This window comes from Homo sapiens, chromosome 2 (assembly GCF_000001405.40).
Source record: "Homo sapiens chromosome 2, GRCh38.p14 Primary Assembly".
Lineage (NCBI taxonomy): Eukaryota > Metazoa > Chordata > Mammalia > Primates > Hominidae > Homo > Homo sapiens.
Genome location: NC_000002.12, coordinates 165,368,868 through 165,387,310, shown reverse-complemented (window position 1 = coordinate 165,387,310; position 18,443 = coordinate 165,368,868). Strand labels below are relative to the sequence as shown.

The 18,443-nt window shown below is 34.1% G+C and overlaps 1 protein-coding gene across 5 annotated transcripts in view; it reads right to left on the bottom strand.

Moving 5' to 3' along the window:
• Nucleotides 1–18,443, bottom strand: part of SCN2A (sodium voltage-gated channel alpha subunit 2) — a 152,891-nt gene that overhangs the window by 4,994 nt on the left and 129,454 nt on the right. For all 5 annotated transcript variants that reach the window (NM_001040143.2, NM_001371246.1, NM_001040142.2 and 2 more), the window contains 7 exons: nt 17,012–17,185; nt 13,964–14,086; nt 12,345–12,626; nt 9,661–9,714; nt 6,582–6,719; nt 6,114–6,218; nt 295–565 (listed from right to left, as the gene is read on the bottom strand). In NM_001040143.2, the coding sequence (NP_001035233.1) occupies nt 295–565; nt 6,114–6,218; nt 6,582–6,719; nt 9,661–9,714; nt 12,345–12,626; nt 13,964–14,086; nt 17,012–17,185 (1,147 nt within the window). The remainder of the gene's footprint in view (nt 1–294; nt 566–6,113; nt 6,219–6,581; nt 6,720–9,660; nt 9,715–12,344; nt 12,627–13,963; nt 14,087–17,011; nt 17,186–18,443) is intronic.

The following is an 18,443-nucleotide window of genomic DNA, read 5'->3' as shown; positions in this document are numbered from 1 at the left end:
TACAAGACTATTCTACCAAAGTTGCAGTTATTGTCTTCTGAGATGAGAACAGATGAAAATATTAAATGAGAATAAATGAAAGCTGAAAATATAAATTCCTTGTATTCCACTCATCATTTCAAGCACAGCATGCAATTAGAGAAATGGCAAACTAAAACTAAAACAATGGACTATTAGATTTTTATTTGGGAGTTTGGGATGAATGAGAAAGATTAGTGAAAAACACCTCTAAAGTTTTAAAACACATATTTTTACCACTATATTCCTTAACTGAATAAAAGCACCTCTTCTTACCTACAATGGAGAGAATGACCACCACAAAATCAAAAATATTCCATCCAATAGTGAAATAGTAGTAACGAAGAGAGATCAGTTTCAGCACACATTCTCCAGTGAACAGAACAATAAACACCAGATTAATCCAGTACAGAATGTTTGTCATTTCTTGACTCTGGTCATCGGTTTCCACCATCATGGTGACCATGTTAAGGCAGATGAGGATCATGATGCTGATATCAAAGACTTGTTTGGTTACAAAATCAAAGACCATTCCTTGGAATTTGTTCTGGAACAAATAATATGTAAAAGTTCCATTAGAAACCTTAAAAAAAATCGAATTCAATTCTTCTGATTTTAAGAAAGCAACAAAAAATGTAGCTTTTATAAAAACACATCTTTAATCCTCACAACATTTTACAAAAAAAAAAATTCCTTGCAAAACCAGTGATTGGAGAGCTGAGGTAACTTGCCTTAGGTCACAAAGCAGGTAAGTAGTGTAAATAGGGAAGCTCCATGTCAGATCTCAAATCTTATCTCTCTCTCTTTTTTTTAATTTTTTTTATTTTTTGAGATGGAGTCTCGCTCTGTTGCACAGGTTGGAGTGCAGTGGCACGATCTTGGCTCACTGCAACCTCTGCCTCCCGGGTTCAAGCGATACTCCTGCCTCAGCCTCCTGAGTAGCTGGGATTACAGGTACATGCCACCATGCCCGACTACTTTTTGTAATTTTAGTAGAGACGGGATTTCACCGTATTGGTCAGGCTGGTCTCAAACTCCTGACCTAATGATCTGCCCACCTCGACCTCCCAAAGTGCTGGAATTACAGGCATGAGCCACCATGCCCAGCCTCAAATCTTATCTCTTAATGCTACCTCATAGCATTTATGTGAGGGTCAAATGCAATGGAACATTATTACAATGTTCTATTCTATTAAAGAAAGTAGTGTATTTTATTTTCGTTTTATACTTGGAAGAAAATTTTGTATATTGTATATTCAACTGTATTCAAATGTATTTGTTTTATTTATACTCACATTGATACCAGGTTTTATAAACTCACGTATTATGTTCTCAGTGCACAGAACACCATCATGTTATGACGGACAGTTAGTAAATATTTGTCATGTAATAAAATTTTTTATCCCATGTGTTGGGAGGGTATTAATTTTACTTTAAGCAACTAATAAATAAATACTTCTCCAAGTTTTCCTCTCTCTTTTTAAATTTTTCGTCTGATTTCTGACTTTATATTCTCTCACTAAAGCTACAGCATCTTAAATTTCATTTTAAAGTTCAGCTAAGATGTTTTAAAAATCATCATTCTAGAGAAAAGGCTTCAGTGGAAAAACTGGTGAAATCTGACTCAGTTCTGTATTTTATTTAATGGTATTATATCAAGATTAATTTCTTAGTTGTGAGAACTGATCTATGGTTGCATAAGATGTTAAAACAAGAGGACACTGTGTATAGATTCATTAGAGTATTCATTATGAGTAACTCTTCTGTAAGAATAAAATTATCTTTTAAAAAGTCACAATGGAAATATTCAATCTTTGCCCTAGTCTATTTGGACCTTATTTCCAAGTACTAATTGCCTTATGTCTTGCTTATGAAATGAAGTCCCCAACTTGTAAACCAGTTCTGATCATTGGTTTCTGTATTGTTCCATTTTGCACGTATCTGCTTTGTTTCTCAGGTAATCTAGGGATCTGGTCTTGACTTAACCTCTGTTGGGCTGCCTTTCTCTACCTTCTCAACTAGAATGACTAATACTCTGCTACATATACACCTAATGGCTTGCTTTCCCAGATCCTGACACTTTTAGTGGCCTGGATTCTACATCTTAGTGTTCTGCCCTCTTTCTATTGGGAGGCTTCTATTACTTCCAATGGTGATTTTTGGACATCAAACACTACTTGTTCTATTTTGTTTTGCTCTTTTCTCTGAATGCGTATTTGGCCTGCTGAACTAGATTTCTATTACTCCAGCTGGATCTGTCTTCTCAGGGCCTTTTTCAACCCAATAAATGTGTCTACTTTTAGTTCAAACCCTTCCTTATTAATTATTAATTTACTGTAGTTTAACTTTCCAAGTCTGGCATCTTCCCCTTACTTCCACCCTCTGATATTTCCTGCCTACCACTCTTAGAAGCTTAGGCAGGTTCTACTGTATCATTTTACATAGTTTATCTGTCTACTATTCTGTCTAAAACACATGTCCCCCACTCCTTCTCTGTCTCATGAATTCTAACTCAGTTTTGAGTTTAAAGCACTTAGTGCTCTCAGAAAACTGAGTGCTTTCATTGATCATAAAATGTATGGCATTGTATTGCAAATGGTTTGCTCTTATTCAATTTTAGTTTTCTTTCCCTTCCACTTGTTTTGAGGCCCCTCAAAAGCAGGAGCAGTATCATTTTTCTCTCAGATATGGCTCCTAGAGTATAGTAAGTTCAAAATATCTTAAAAGCAGAAATTTGGTCTTAATTTTAATATCACCATGACTAATAAAAAACTGTTTAGATTCCCTGTTCATAGAGTTGTCCAATGAGACAGACATCTCAATGTACAACTCCAGTCTCGAGTCTCTGTGTTCTGTTCTCCCATTTAAATCCTAGGGTGTCAAATATGCTGGAACAAGATGTATAATTCTGAAGATCTTATTCACCAAAAATTTATGTTCTCTAACTTCATCTTGGCCCTTCAGATTTAACAATTAGCAATCCTTTGTCCTTCATTTGCTCCAAAGATAATTCCAAACTTCTCATAAATTTCCATTCTCTTGCCCTCTATTTTTACTTTTTTTAGAACATTAAATTTAAACAGTTTAAATAAACTCCTCTGTTTCCTTTTGCATTTCATATTATTTTAATTTCCATGTTCTTTTCATATATTACTCCAAATTCATTAGAGGACTCAGCCCCTTTTTCTTTCTAAAGCTACCCTAGACCACTATGTCCTTGTCCCACATCTTGTGCATTTTTATGCCGTAATTATTCCCTCTGTCTTCGATCTTTTCCTCTCTAAAATTCCTTTTGCTTTCCTTTAAACCTAATCTCTGAATCTTAAGAAACCTTTATTTTGCTACTTCTAAATATTCATCATTTCTCTCCCTTCCTCCTTCCTCTCACTCTCTCACTCTGACTCGTTTGCCAAATTCTGCAAACTAGCATCTCCAATTTTCTCACCACTTTCTGTCCCTTCTTCATTTCCTGCATGACATCAGTATTTATCCAGTTGTGCAAAGCAGAAAGACACCAGTCATTCTTGTTGGTTCCTTCTTTAGTTCCCATATTCAATTAATAGACAAACTTTTAAATTTCACTCTGGTGATAGCTCACAAATCCATCCACTTTTATTAATCTGCACATTGCTATGGTTCAGGCTACCTACCATCTCTGAAATAGCTCCAAAACAAGTCTACAATGTATTCACACGGCCTCTGTGAAACTGATTGAGTGATCACCACAAAGCCCAGACTGACTGGGTCCACGTTAACGGTTTCTTACTGCTCTTAGGATGAAAACTACTCCTTAACACGGCCTCCAAGGCCCAGAAAAGTTTGGGCTTATCCTAACCTCTTTATTCTCAGTGTGTCCCAAATGAACCTTGACTTTCTGCACTCCAGTCTCACCAGCCCTCCTACATAAGGACCTTCACAAATTCATTCCCCTTCTACAGGGCTCTTCTCATCCCACTCTGGCTATTGATGCTTTCTATTCTTTTTCCATCCTCAGCTAGTATATTTTTTTAATAAAGCCTTCCCTAACTTCCCTGATTAATCAGCCCCTTCCCCCTAATCAGCTCTCACAGCTGAAAGTATCCCTTTTTTTCTGGGATACTTCCATTTTTTGGCAGGACTATTTGATTACTATCCGTTGCATTAACTAGACTCCATACTGTTCGATATTTAAGTTCAAATGCTTAGCATACTACATAGTACATATTGTCAATGCAGGAATAAATGGATTTTACTAGTTACTTGCTAAATTGCCAAATTGACACTGATAATATTCTAGCTGAATGTGTTGAACTTTTTCCACACACCCCTACCACTACAGGTAAATCCATGTCATTTGATGGAAACAAACTCAAGCTCATTTCTTCATTGATTTATTTCTTCCTATATCTTGATGAAGTATGCAAGGCCTCATTCTGAGAATTTTGTTTTTTTCTCTATTCTAATTATTTTTCAAAAATGAATCTGTGTTTCAGAGCTCAATTGAATTTTGTTCTGACAATGCTAAAATCCTTATTTCAGTCTGGACATTTCATAGGCTCTAACACTATTTTTCCCAGTGCCTTCATATGACTTCAGTATATGATAGTGGAACCAACAGTTTCACAAAATATCAACTAGCTTATATTTTAGATTCTCTGTTATTTACATATCCTCCCTCTTTTCCTGTGTTTCATAACAGGCAATGAAAATATGCTATTCTTACAGCAGGTCGAGGTATGGGTTATTGTGGTTTCTTTGAACCCAGTTTTTTCATTGCATCCTCCCTCTTTTCCTGTGTTTCATCCCAATTGAGTCTTCTTATTGGCTAACTTCACTCCTGGAGTAGTTCCAGTCCTGCTGGTTGGACACAGATTATGGACTATCTTCTTGTATGTAAGGGTTTATCTTCTTGTCTATGGCCGAGGGTTATTTTGCCTCTAATATTGTTCCACACCAGTCTCTAGGTTAAACTCTCTAAAATCTTTCTTTTCACATTACTAGGCTGTTCTGTTAACTATATTGCATTTGTATTGCTTAATTAGAACAAATTTCTTCAGACTCGTATGGTAACCTTGTCTCATGTAACTCGGAAAACCAGTGTCTACTACTCACTAATTCAAATGCATCACTATTCTGCACTGATATATTTGTCTATATGGCTATGAAGTATACATTTTCTCATACAGTAAATGTTCTCTGCTTCTCTCTCTATTCATTCAAATTGTATTATTTCCTAAAGACTAGGCTCAAGTTGTACACCCTTTGTGTTTGACCCAATATAGCTATCCATTTTCTTTGAGTTATTGGCCGGCTTACCAACTGAACACTTAATTACGGTCTGTTTTATATTGTCACCAATAGATTTATAGAGTCAAGATTTCTGAGAAACACTGAAGTGTTTTATACCACGTATACGTTGGGGAAGATTTTCTGAGACTTAATATATGAGCTAGTCCTTCAGGAGTGATAGAAAAACTTAGCGATTCTCCTGGCAGCAACTCCCTGCAGCAGCCAAACTGAACGAACAGTATCACTGGCAAATGTACACCTGGAAGAGCCAATAAAAAGCCCTACAAAGAATGATATCATCTCATTTAAGGGTGGGATAGTAGGGGAAAATATGAGGTTTGTCTTTTTTTTGTTTAACCAGAAAAAAGCAAAACCTGTGGCCTGTTTCATTAATGATTCCATTCAATCTGCAGAGTTGGACAAAAACTGAGGCCAATCTGTGACGTACCAATTATTCCGATCTGTCTCCTCTGTACTCTGAGAACATTTAATATTTTCACATTATGTATGTATGTATTTTATTTTTGATGTTATTAGAAGTGTCTTAATGACATCAGCTTGTATGATACCACTGGCACTTAAGTATAGCAAATTTTATTTCTATGTATTTTATATGTTTACATATAAAATATGTTATGCATTATATAATTTATACATATTATATATGTAAAGTACATTTTTCAAGCTATTTAGGCTAGCTAGTCCCATTGTTAAGGTAAAAAACTTTGTGTTACAAATCCACAAAAATAACTAGTTTCTAGAAATTCGGGCTGTGAAACGGTTAGGTAATATAGTTTTAACAGGCAATGAAAATATGTTATTCTTACAGCAGGTCGAGGTATGGGTTTTTGTGGTTTCTTTGAACCCAGTTTTTTCATTGCATTGTAGTATTTCTTCTGTTCTTCTGTCATAAAAATGTCTTGACCTCCAAAGTAAAGAAATGAAAGCAACACTTGTTAAAATTGTGTTCTTTGCTGGCTATAAAATCCACCTTAGTAATCATGTGAAAATTGGCTCCCACATTTCATTCTATTGTTACTAATATCTGTATTTATAGAGATGCCTTTATTCAATATATAAATTATGCCATATTAGTCATATTTCTAGACTAAAAATATCAAAAACATGCTATCTGAATTATTAATTGCTTAAAAGCTTATCGATTATCAAATGTCTCAAAATAATTTCTGAATTTTATATTCTTTTTTTGGTGATTGCATTTTGGAGGCTAAAGGAAAGAGTATGAAATATTTAGTTCATATTTCAGAGCAAGGATGAAGTTTTAATATACTTATCTTCTTTTTCTGTTGGTTGAAGTTATCTATGATGACACCAATGAAAAGATTCAAGGTAAAGAATGAACCAAAAATAATAAAGATGACAAAATAAAGATACATGTACAGGTTGTCTTCATACTTGGGTTGTAATTCTACCTAAAGAATATGAAGAATTGTAACCATTATATCTAGTACTTGTTTCACAAAAAGTACATCAGTGAGTTTTTAATTATCTAAGCATGTTTTAATCTCTGGAATGAAAATAAACCAAACACTAAACAGATTTTATGAACCTTCAAATCTCACATGCTTATTGAAGAGTTCTGCAAGACTATTCATTACCTGGGAAAATGAAATAACCATATAGAAGTCTGAATGATTATAGACAATTTCACCCAACAAATGCCCAGATTATGAATGCACTTTCCTTTCTAAGCAAAGTTCCCAACACAGCATGCAAATTAAAGATTTCCTCTTCTTACAAAAGAGATGTCAGCGTCACATTATTCTATGTCAAAACTTTTAAGATTTACTTTCTCTGACTCAGTTTTCTCATCTGTGAGATGAAAATAATCAAACTTAAACCTCATAGTGTGGTTGTGAAGATTAACTATATTAACATATAAATATGCTTAGAACAGTGGCGGCCAGTAGTAATTGCTAAGTGTAAGGGTTTGGTATAATACATTTCTTTAGATAGGCAAGAATCATTGTAGTAGGTCTGCATGTAGGTATATAGGTTGATCTTTCCTTTCTGAAAATGAATCTATTGCTTTATCCTATTCAGTAGGGACTGTTTCTGTAACAATGATACTATCTCTTGTCTAATCCACTTTTGTTTAGAAAACTGTGTGATAGTAGGTTTGCGCCTTAGCTGTAAGCTTTCACAGGTCTAATAGGACATTGTTCTAACCAACTCAGTTAACCAATCCCTGATGATGATAATAGATGCAAGTTATAACCCACTGTGTTATGAAATCAATTTAGAGGATTATGACCAGCATAATTTTGTTTCTAAGGAAATACAGCAAAATGGAAAATATCAGGAATATTGTAAAACTGCTATTCTTCGATGAGATTTTATTTGTGTATGTGAGTTTAGTTAACAGTGATGTAAAATTATATTTTTAAAATTTTTAAAAGACAATATACATACAGGAAAGTGCATAATACATAAATGCAAAATATAATATGTTTTATAAGTGAAATCCATAACCCAGGACATTGCTACAACTTCAGAAACCCTTGGTGTACCCTTCTCAAACATAAACTCCATCATCCCTGCTGGAGGTAATCATTATCCTGACTTTTATGGTAATGATGTCCCTGCTTTTTCTTTCAAGTTAACACCTCAGTATGCAGTTTTGAACAATAAGCTTAGTTTTGTCAATTTCGAACTTTATATAAGTAGAATTATAGTATGTGTCTAGTTTCTTTAACTCAATGTTGTATTTTTAAGGCTCATCCATGTGGTTGTATATGGCGGTATTCATTCATTTTCATCACTATATAGTATTCAATTATTTGCCTATTTCTACTGTTTTTGAGTTGCTCCCAGTTTTTTGCAAGTGCAAAAAAAAGTTATATTCATTTTTGTACATAGATTATCCTAAACATGTGCATAAGTTTCTTTAGGATACGTTGTTCAAAGTAGAATTGCAGTATTAAAAAATATCTTTAACTTTCTCAAATAATGTGATCATACCCAACTGTTTTTAAAGGATTATTTAACTATTTTTTTTCCTATCAGCATTGTACGAGTGTTCTTATTGCTGTTTATCCTTGGTAAAACTTGGTATTGTCAGACTTTTTGGTATTGCCAATCTGGTAGGTGTGTAGATAATGTTTTATTTTGGTTTAAATTTGCATTTATCTGATGCAATTTACTAATTAAAGTTCAAGATCCAGCAACTTTTCATAAATGTAGTGCTCAATTGGCTTTCATCTTTTGTAATGTGCTGGAAATTCCAGGAGTTTTGCAGCGGAAAAGGTCTGCTAAGTTATTAAAGAAGAAACTGAAAATGTTTCATGGCATATAAGCTATTGATAAGGAAGGTGGAGAGAGCATTGAATTAATTAATCAAAAAGGTAAGAACCACTGTGGAAAGTGGGTATGAGCCATTATTTGTGGTCAGGGTTCAAAAACTTGTTTTCCCATTTAACGCATTAAGCCTCTTTGCTTCAGTAGTAAAATAGAGCTAGTATCACCTATACAATAAGGTTGTCATTTAGGATTAAATGGGATAATGTGAGAAAGTCCTTGGCACAGTGAATAGTGATAATCAATAAATTATTATTACTATTCAGAAAAATCTCATAACTGGAATTCCTGATAGCACTTATAGAGATACAATGCAGGGCTTTTCATGCTTTCTTGCTCCCTCTCTGTTTTTATGAAGTGGAAAAAAGAAAAAAAAAAACCTCAGGAATTCTTCACTCAGAAAGCTAGCTGCTGGTGCTAGGGAAAGAGCATTTTGAGCTTTATTATCATGCTCTGGCATACCAGAAATCAATCTCTTTTTTTTTTTTTTTCAAAATGTGACTTCATTCCTCATTAAATAGTGAGAAATTAATGAAAATTATAGAAAAGAATTCAAAGTACTGGTATGTATAAAGTAGATTAGGGAAGTCCCTCCCTTCTACCACTTAATCTCACTTTCCCAAGAGAAACACTAAATTGTTTATTTTTGTCCCCGTTTTTAGTCATATCCTTCCTATTATAAGGAAGATCAAAAGCTGGAGGAAATATATTACAGATAAAAAATATTGCCTGTGAGAACTTCTAATGCACAAATGACCAGGACTATCAGAGCCAAAAATAAAATGTCTCATTTTGAAAATACATACAATAAAGTTTTGTGTCAGGTGCCTTGCTAAATACTAGAAAAGATATGTTAAAAGATACAGAGTGATTAGAGAAAATCATCCTATGATAATTTTGAAAGAAATAGTATGATTAAATATTTTATCCTTATAATATAGATGGGTTTTATAAATTAAGCACATAATTTTATTTTATTGACAATATCACTAAATTACAATATTGTAGAAATATACATTTAATCAAACTAAACAATTTCCCTCTAACTAGACTTACATTTCGTGAATCAACAGCTGCATACATAATATCCATCCATCCCTTAAACGTGGCCTGTAAGAAAAGTCATATCATTTTCTTTTTTCCCAAAATTATAATTTTAGAAAATAAATTGAATAATTGATCAAAATTCTATTTGACATGTATTCAATACAGGCATATAAATAAGCTTGAAATTTGTATTCACTTTTGGGGCAATGTTTTGCGATATGCATTGAAAATACTTCAAATTTATATTCCTCTATAACATCTTATGTGGATATTTAGCATATATAATTAAATAATGATCTACTGTAACAATATGCTATCATAAAAACAATATGAACAATCTTTGACTCTGATGTGTTTATATAAAAATATATCATGAACTTTGATGAAAAAATTTCATGTGTATAGTAGCAGCATGAGACAAGCTCAAAAGTATGCTGCATTATTTATCTTAATGCTTCCTTTCTACTTATTCTTTTCTAAATGATTATTACACCAATCACCAATCATGACAGCTTATTCTTGAAAATCTTCTTAATATTGTTGATCATACTATTTTGAGGTGATTACTCTATAAGAGGAAGCAGTTTCCTAATCTGAAAACAATATATTCTACTGCATTTCCTTTTTTAAATATTTGTTTTCTGCTCCGTTGACATAATGATCTTGAAAATAAAACTCTTGTACATTTTTTCAGTTCCTTAGTGCCACAGGCTCTTCCCCTTTCCTGACTATTTTAATAGTCTTGAGGATCGTGTAAGTGGATTGTGTCCAGGAGCTAGTGGAGATTTAATACTGCAGTCAGTTGAATAGCTGAATGAATTATTATGAGTGCATAGCAGACACAATAGTCTTAATTGGAAAGTTTTCATTTGCAAGAGAGCAATTTTCCTATTTGAAAGTCTCTCTCTCTTTCTCTATCTACACACACGCGTGTGGACACATACACACACACACACACACCCCTTTTCAACCCCCCTTGGGGCCAGCACTTCTTTCCTCAGAGTAGGAAGGGAGGAAAACAATGAGTGCCTAGATTAAACTCCCAGTAACAAAGGACTTGGCTATGCTACCAAATGCATAGTCAGGGAGACAATAAAGTTTTTAGAACCATCATGTTTCCAGCGTGGGGCAGAAAAGATAGTTCAATCATGGTAAGAGGAATCTAGGCAGATGGGCCTAAGGAAGTATTTGTAAACACAGAGGAAGAAAAATTTTATTTTATTGTTGTATAGTATTATATCATTTTTATATAGTTTTAGTGCATCTATATAGAGTTCCTAAAATGTATATGCATTTTTATTTTAATTGCTTTTCAAAAATATATTCATTTTTTAATTGACAAATAAAAATGAATATATTTATGTTGTACAAAATGATGTTTTCAAATATATATATATTGTGAAATGGCTAACTCAAGCTAAGTAATATATAATTATCGCTTCTTATACTTATTTTTTTCTGATGAGAAAACATATCTACTCACTTAGCTATTTTCAAGTATATAATATATTATTATTAACTATAGTCACCATGCTGTACAATAGCTCTACAGAATGTATTCTTCCTGTCGAATTGAATTTTGTATCCTTTGACCAACATCTCCCATCATCCCCCAGCCCCTGGTGATTGTCATTCTGCTTTCTGTTTCTGTGAGTTTGTGTTTTTTAGATTCCATATATAAGTGACATCATGTGTCATTTGTCTTTCTGTGCCTGGCTTATTTCACTTAATTTCCTCCAGGTGAATCAATGTTGTATAAAAGGACAGGATTTCCTTCTTCTTTAAAGGCTGAATACTATTTCATTGTGTATGTCTATAGGGGTGTGTGTGTGTGTGTGTGCGTGTATACACACACATATATATACATCCAATAAGTTTTTAAATGATTATTACCAATCATCAATCACGAGGGCTTATTTTTGAAAATCTTTTTAATATTGTTGAACATACTATTTTAAGGCACTCTACAAAAAGAAGCAGTTTCCTAAACTGAAAACAAATACATTCAAGCGCATTTACTTTTTGAAATACTTTTTCTGTTGTGCGGACATAGTAATTCTGAAAACAAAAGTCTTGTACATTTTCTCAGTTTCTTAGTGCCACAGGCTCTGCCCCTTCCCTGACTACTTCTATATACACGCACACATACACAAACACTGTTTCTGTGTATGTCTATATATGTGTATAGATATATACATATACAGTGTATATCTATACGTGTGTATATAGAAATACGTGTGTGTATATATATACATATACATATATGTACACACACACACACACACACACACTTTTCTTTATCCACATATCTGTTGATGGACAATTAGGTTGTTTCCATATTTTGGCTATTGTGAATAGTGCTGCAGTGAGTGTGAGAGTGCAGACATCTCTTTGACATGTTGATTTAATTTCCTTTGTATATATACCCAGTAATGGAATTGTTGGATCACATAGTGGTTCTATTTTTAGTTTTTTGAGAAACCTCCATACTGTTTTCCATAAAAGCTATACTAATTTACATCCCTGCCAACAATGTACAAGGGTTCCCTTTTCTTCACATTCTTGCCAGCATTTATTGTCATTTATCTGTTTGATAATAGCCATTCTAACAGGTGGATATCTCATTATGAGGAAGAAAAACTTTAGACTCATTTTAATTACACATCATGGAAAATAATAAAGTGATTACTTACTACTTGAAGTAGAGACAGATATCCAAGTCCTACGTTATCAAAGTTTACTTTCACATTTTTCCACCTGGCAGTTTGATTGCTCTCAATGAGAGCTTTGCACTCACTGTAGTTGTTGACCACGCTTACATCAAACATCTCTCCAGTGGTGTAATTAATACAATGGTAAAACTTGCCAGCAAAGAGATTCACTCCCATGATACTGAATATTAGCCAAAAGATCAGACAAACCAGAAGTACATTCATGATAGATGGAATGGCTCCTAAAAGAGCATTTACAACAACCTGGCACAGGATGAGAAGGAAAAATAAGTGAAAAGCCAACAACAAATATTTACTTATTTTTAAACATTATTAAAAGAACAGTCAAATGATTAAAAAAATCTGTTTCAAAGTTGAATATTGGGTAGAAACTAGACTCTGGTAGCTCCAACTAAGAATTTTAAAATTATAAATCAGAAGAGTATACAACGAATTTTATATTGGAGAATGTTTTCTCAAGAGGTAATAACACACATGTAGCAAATTTACCTCAAAGGATGGAACTAACAGCAAATGCCAAAAATAATTAAGAGTATAAACAGTGGCATGAATATAGAAGTGAACATCACTTTCAAAAAATCATACAAACCATACAATTTGCTGTCCAAAATTTGAGAGTAAAAGAGACCACTTGGGGATCAAATTCCACACAGAAAATATAAACAGTATTCTGGTACTGAAAGATTGATACCTTTTGTTTATTAAGCCTTCTACTGCAAAAACTGTTCTTTCTAATTGGTAAAGTAAAAAGAATTTTACCGCTAATAACACTTTTCTATGTAACCATGCATATACAGACACACATCTACACACACCATTCATCTCTAGTTGTGATTGTAACACTAGATAAAGTCTAAGTAACTATTTTCTTAGTTAGAAAATATGAGCTAGTATCACTATAACATGCAGATAAAGTCTAAGCAACTTATTTTCAAATATCACAAAAAGTATCATTTTTTTAAAATCCTCTTTGAACCAGCTAAAACAACTGAGACAAGGCATCATCATTTTCTAGGTGGTGAGGGTATGTGGTCTCAGGTTTTGTGCCTCAGGGGACGACAAATGTCAGCACAAACTCCTCTGTTCTTTTGTACCACCCTTCTAAATGAGCGTTAGATTTCCAGTTGACCTACTTTTTAGCCATTTCAGCCTGTGTTTAAGAACTAAAAGGCCTGATTCAAACATCAAAAGGCTCAAAGTGTATCACAGCGGAGTAGTGAAGAAATGATGAGCAATGATTTGGTAGGCTTAAACTACAGCGAGTAGGATTTCCTGCACATTTATAAATGAAGTGAACATAAATAATCTTGATTCAAATCAGCAGCATAACTATAGAGATTTTCCAAGAAGTGAAAATCTAGCTAATCAGAAACAATCCCTCTGGCAATATACTACTCTGTGAGTGACTCCAGCAGTGCCAAGTATTATGGGCATCTGGTAAATATTATTTTTGATTGATTAGCTATGTCAGTATGAATGTGTAAGACACAAATTCTCCATAAATTTGACATTTCCATGGTACAAAGTGTCAGTCTGCTCTCAATAATAATTCTGACAAACTCTAAGGCATTCAGTCTTACCCTCATTCCTTCAAACCGGGACAAAGCTCTCAGTGGCCTCAGAGCTCTTAGTGTTCTGAGGGATTTGATGGCACCAAGTTCTGAGTAACCCAAGGCATTTGCAGTTAAGCTAACCAGTGAGACCTATACAGAAAAAGCAACACAATTTTCTTATTTACATATAAAAATGTCTACACAGTTCAGCCTTGCTCTATGCAATGAATCAGTAATTCTCGAACTTTCATGAGTTTCAAAATCACCCAGGGGTCTTGTTAAAAACACCAATAGCAGAGTCTGACTTAGTAAGTTTGGGGAAAGGCCTAAGAATTTGCATTTCTACAGGTTCCCAGGGTGAAGTTAATGATACTAGTCTGCGAACACTTATAAAAAAGAAGCCCATATATGTGCTCTTTTTCAAGATTCTTGGTAGGAAATGTTTTTAAAAAATTAAAAGTAAAGAAAAAAAAGAGAGAGAAATGTGATCTTCCTCTACAGATCTGTAAAACTTATTTCTGTATCATTTCTAATAATATTGAGCAGATCTGAAATGGAAAGTAACATTTGATACACAAGTAAACTATACAAACCACTGGTGAATATGAGCATGAACACATTTAAAAAGGAATAGGCCTCTAAAAAGCAGCTTTGACTTTTGTAAATTTCAGTTTGAAGGGCATAATATCATTAATTAGGTCAGACAAAATTAGTGAATAAAAAAAGTTGAGATTTTATGATAAATTAGAAATTGCAAGAACAATGTTGTCTTTAGTTATTCATACAGTTGACTAATGTAGTTGAGAAAAATTATAAAGTCTTAGCTAAAAAGAAAAAGAAAAACGGTCGGGGGACATACACATGTCCAATTTCCTTGAAAACATATAGAAAAATTATTAAAATTATATAAGCTATTTTGTTCTAAAGTACACCTGAATTTCAAAAGCAGATAAATAAAAATAAATATGCAATACAGCTTTTAAGAGTATGGTGTTAATATATTTGAAAAATATATTTTTTAAGGAAAATAAGTGAAGCACATTGAAAGTTGTTACAAAAAACAACTTATTCAAAATAATTTTGCACATGCAATTTGAAAGTGAAGCCTCTTGAATACAGAAAACAATGAGTTGTAAAATTATGTCTTACATAGTTCATATAGTTCCCTTAAAATCCAAACTCTTAGGCTTTGTAAGTCCCTTTTTAACAGATAATTGAAAAATAGTTACTGAATTATCATGAGTTGTGAAGCTTTTCTGTATTTAAGATATAAGGACCTGTAGTACTTTACCTTCTCTGAAGACAGAACCAAAAAGAGATAAGCATAAGTTAAAGGATGAAAGATAAAAGTTAGACAGAGGAAAATATTTTGAATGGGGTAGTATTTACTGGCTGAAAAGAAGTTGTAAAATATTCAGTTTTATGTGACTTGTGTAGCTAAATGTGGAAAAGAAGATACATATAGGCCTTCTCTTTCTGGGACATTGCAGCAATCTCCTAATTGGTGTTTTGATCTCTAAATAAATCTCCTTTCTATTCCGTCATTCTCACCTCCACCTAACTTCCCTCACTAAAAGAACAAGCAGGTCTTGTCACTTCCCTATATGTAATTCTTCAATAGCTTCCTCTGTATTAAATAATAAGTCCAAATTTCCTTGGATGGCATCTCAGGTTCTTCAGATCTTTTCTAACTTATCTTTCTTACCTTATCATCCCATTACAAAGGCTTACCTCACCCTATCTACTTGTTTCTGGAACCCGCCCTGCATGTCATGCACCAACGTTTTAACGAATCCGTGTTCCTCCCTCAGCTGTGCCTGCTAGCATTCACATCTCTCAAGCTCCAGCTCACACTCCACTTCCCTATTGAAGCCTTTCCTCCTTCCTCAAGTAAAGAGGTGGCACTTGTAATACAGGTGTCGACTTACTGTGTACGCAGCTGTCCTCACTTTTCAACTGTAAGCTACTGCAGGACTAGAAAAATGACTTATTTATATTTGTATCTTTCATAATGAAATAGATGAGCAATAAGCATATTTGATTTAAGGCAAAGTGTTGATCAGTTTCATATACTATCATAATAGTTTTCTTAAATCTAAAAAGGTAAATATCAGAGTACTTTGGGTAATATGATCATTAGCTGCAGGACAACTAGATTTCTCTGAAGAGTTTCCTTATATTCAAGCAGTGCTGACTTGATACTTTTATCCTAACATAGATATATCAAGTATCAGATATTTTTATTATGGATTTACCAACCTATGATAAGTACATACAGAAAATAGAGAAAAGAAATAGTATCATGCATAATCCCATTATACAAATAAAAGAATGGTTATAGTTTTGGTGCATTTTCTATTGTTTGTAATGTCCACACTTATGTAGTTCTAAATATTATTTATTGTCTTCCTTTATTGCCAGAGACTGTTAATGTAATTCTGCATGTAACCTTTATACATTTAATAGTAGTAGTACATTTAATGGTAGATTTGCCTCATATTCAATTATATAAAAACCCTCATATTTTAGTACTCTATCTTATTTTATTTCAACACCAATGTGGTTTAATAAAATCTTTGGCTACTTGGTCAATAGCCAATTTGCTTCTATATCATACAAATCAAGTGGTGTCTCTTGCTTTTTGGACTTTCAAATTTCTTTGTAATTAATGATTCATCTGTGTGACCTAAACTCAACAGGCTTTAGTGATGACAAACATACTAATGTCAAAGATGCCTGTGAAAAATTTAAATACAAGTTATTTTGCGAAATGTGAGTGTGCAAAAAGCAAAATTTCTAAATTCATATTTTATTTTGCATAACTTGAGATTTTAAATATTAATTTGAAATTAAGTGAATAAGTATAGTATGATGGCATTTGATTTTTATCTATGAATGTATATGTATTTAAATTGGTAAAAAATGTTTTGAGGCATCCTCTCACTGTGAAATGAGAAACATAATTTATATTTGGGCTGATACAGTGTTACTGAGTGCCTACACTGTGTCAGGCACCATTGCTAGAACTATTACATATATGCCAATGAATAAAGCAGCAAAGTGCAGCATACTCACATCAACAATCAGGAAGTCTAGCCAGCACCAGGCATTGGTAAAATACACTTGAAAACCATATGCAACCCACTTTAGCAGCATTTCCAGAATGAATATGTAAGTGAAAACCTTGTCAGCATATTCTAACATGGTCTTAATGGTTTTTCGCTGCTCAATGTATATATCTTCAAAGGCCTGTAAGTCAAAAAATTCTATTAAATTTTATGATCAGAAACAGTCTCTAATTGATGATTTCTTAAAAAAGGAAACGATGCAAGCTCTTATCAGGTGCCTAAGGCTGGAAGGTTTAATGTTTCCCATGGCTGAATTTTACTTTATCATTATCTGATCATAAATGACTGCTGACTGGGCATTTCAGTCAACCAAGGGTTTCAGTAATTTTTAAATTTTGGTCTCAGTGTACCCCCAAAGAGCTTAAAATTTTTGAGAGACTGCCAGCTGCTTCTCTCTACATCAGGAGGCAGTGGAACGCCTGGGAGTAGATTGGTCTCATTCAGTGCAGACTCAATGGAATGCATCCTCTAGTAATGCAGATATAAAGCAGGGAGGTCCCTCAGCCTACAGAAAAAGGAAAGGATTGTCATTGCTCACTTTCTTGTCTCTCTCCCTCTCTCTGTGTGTCTGTGTGTGTGTGGAGGCGGGTGGGTGTACGTTTGGAAATTCCCTTTGACAGAATTTTCCAGAGCCCTTGGGAAAGAGTGGGTAACTCATTTGCAGGAACTCCTGAGGCTTCCAGAATGAAAAGACTATTTATCTAACTTGATCTTCTTATCGGAAAAATTATCAGGAAAACCTGGCAGCCTGGATTAAAGACAAAGGAACATTTTCTTTTTTAGATAACAAGAATCAGGGCTTGTAACCAGAGCTCCATACAAGGACCTAAAGGTTTCTGGGCTTTGCTTATAGCTGAAGCTGTAAACCCCTGAGGAGCCAGCCACTGTGCCAGCACGTTGTGCAATTTGGTGAGCACTGACTGGGTGTAACTGAGAACAAAGAGCTCCTACAGCAAAGGTACTAGTCACTAATGAGACTTCATAGTTCTCTCTCTACTTGGCTTTAGAAAGCATGTCTGGCAAGGTGCGGTGGTTCACGCCCGTCGTTCCAGCACTTTAAGAGGCCAAGACGGGCAGATCTCTTGAGGCCAGGAGTTCGAGACCAGCCTGGCCAAGATGGCAAAACCCAGTCTCTATTACTAAAAGTACAAAAATTAGCCAGGTGTGGTAGCTCACACCTGTAATCCCAGCTACTTGCGAGGTTAAGGCACAAGAATGGCATGAACCCAAGAGATGGAGGCTGCAGTGAGTCGAGATCACACCACTGCACTCCAGCCTGGGCAACAGCAAGACTGTCTAAAAAATAATAATAATAATAATAAAGGTAAAGAAAATAAAGCATGGCTGATCCTCTTTAAACTGAGTATATGGCAGGACAC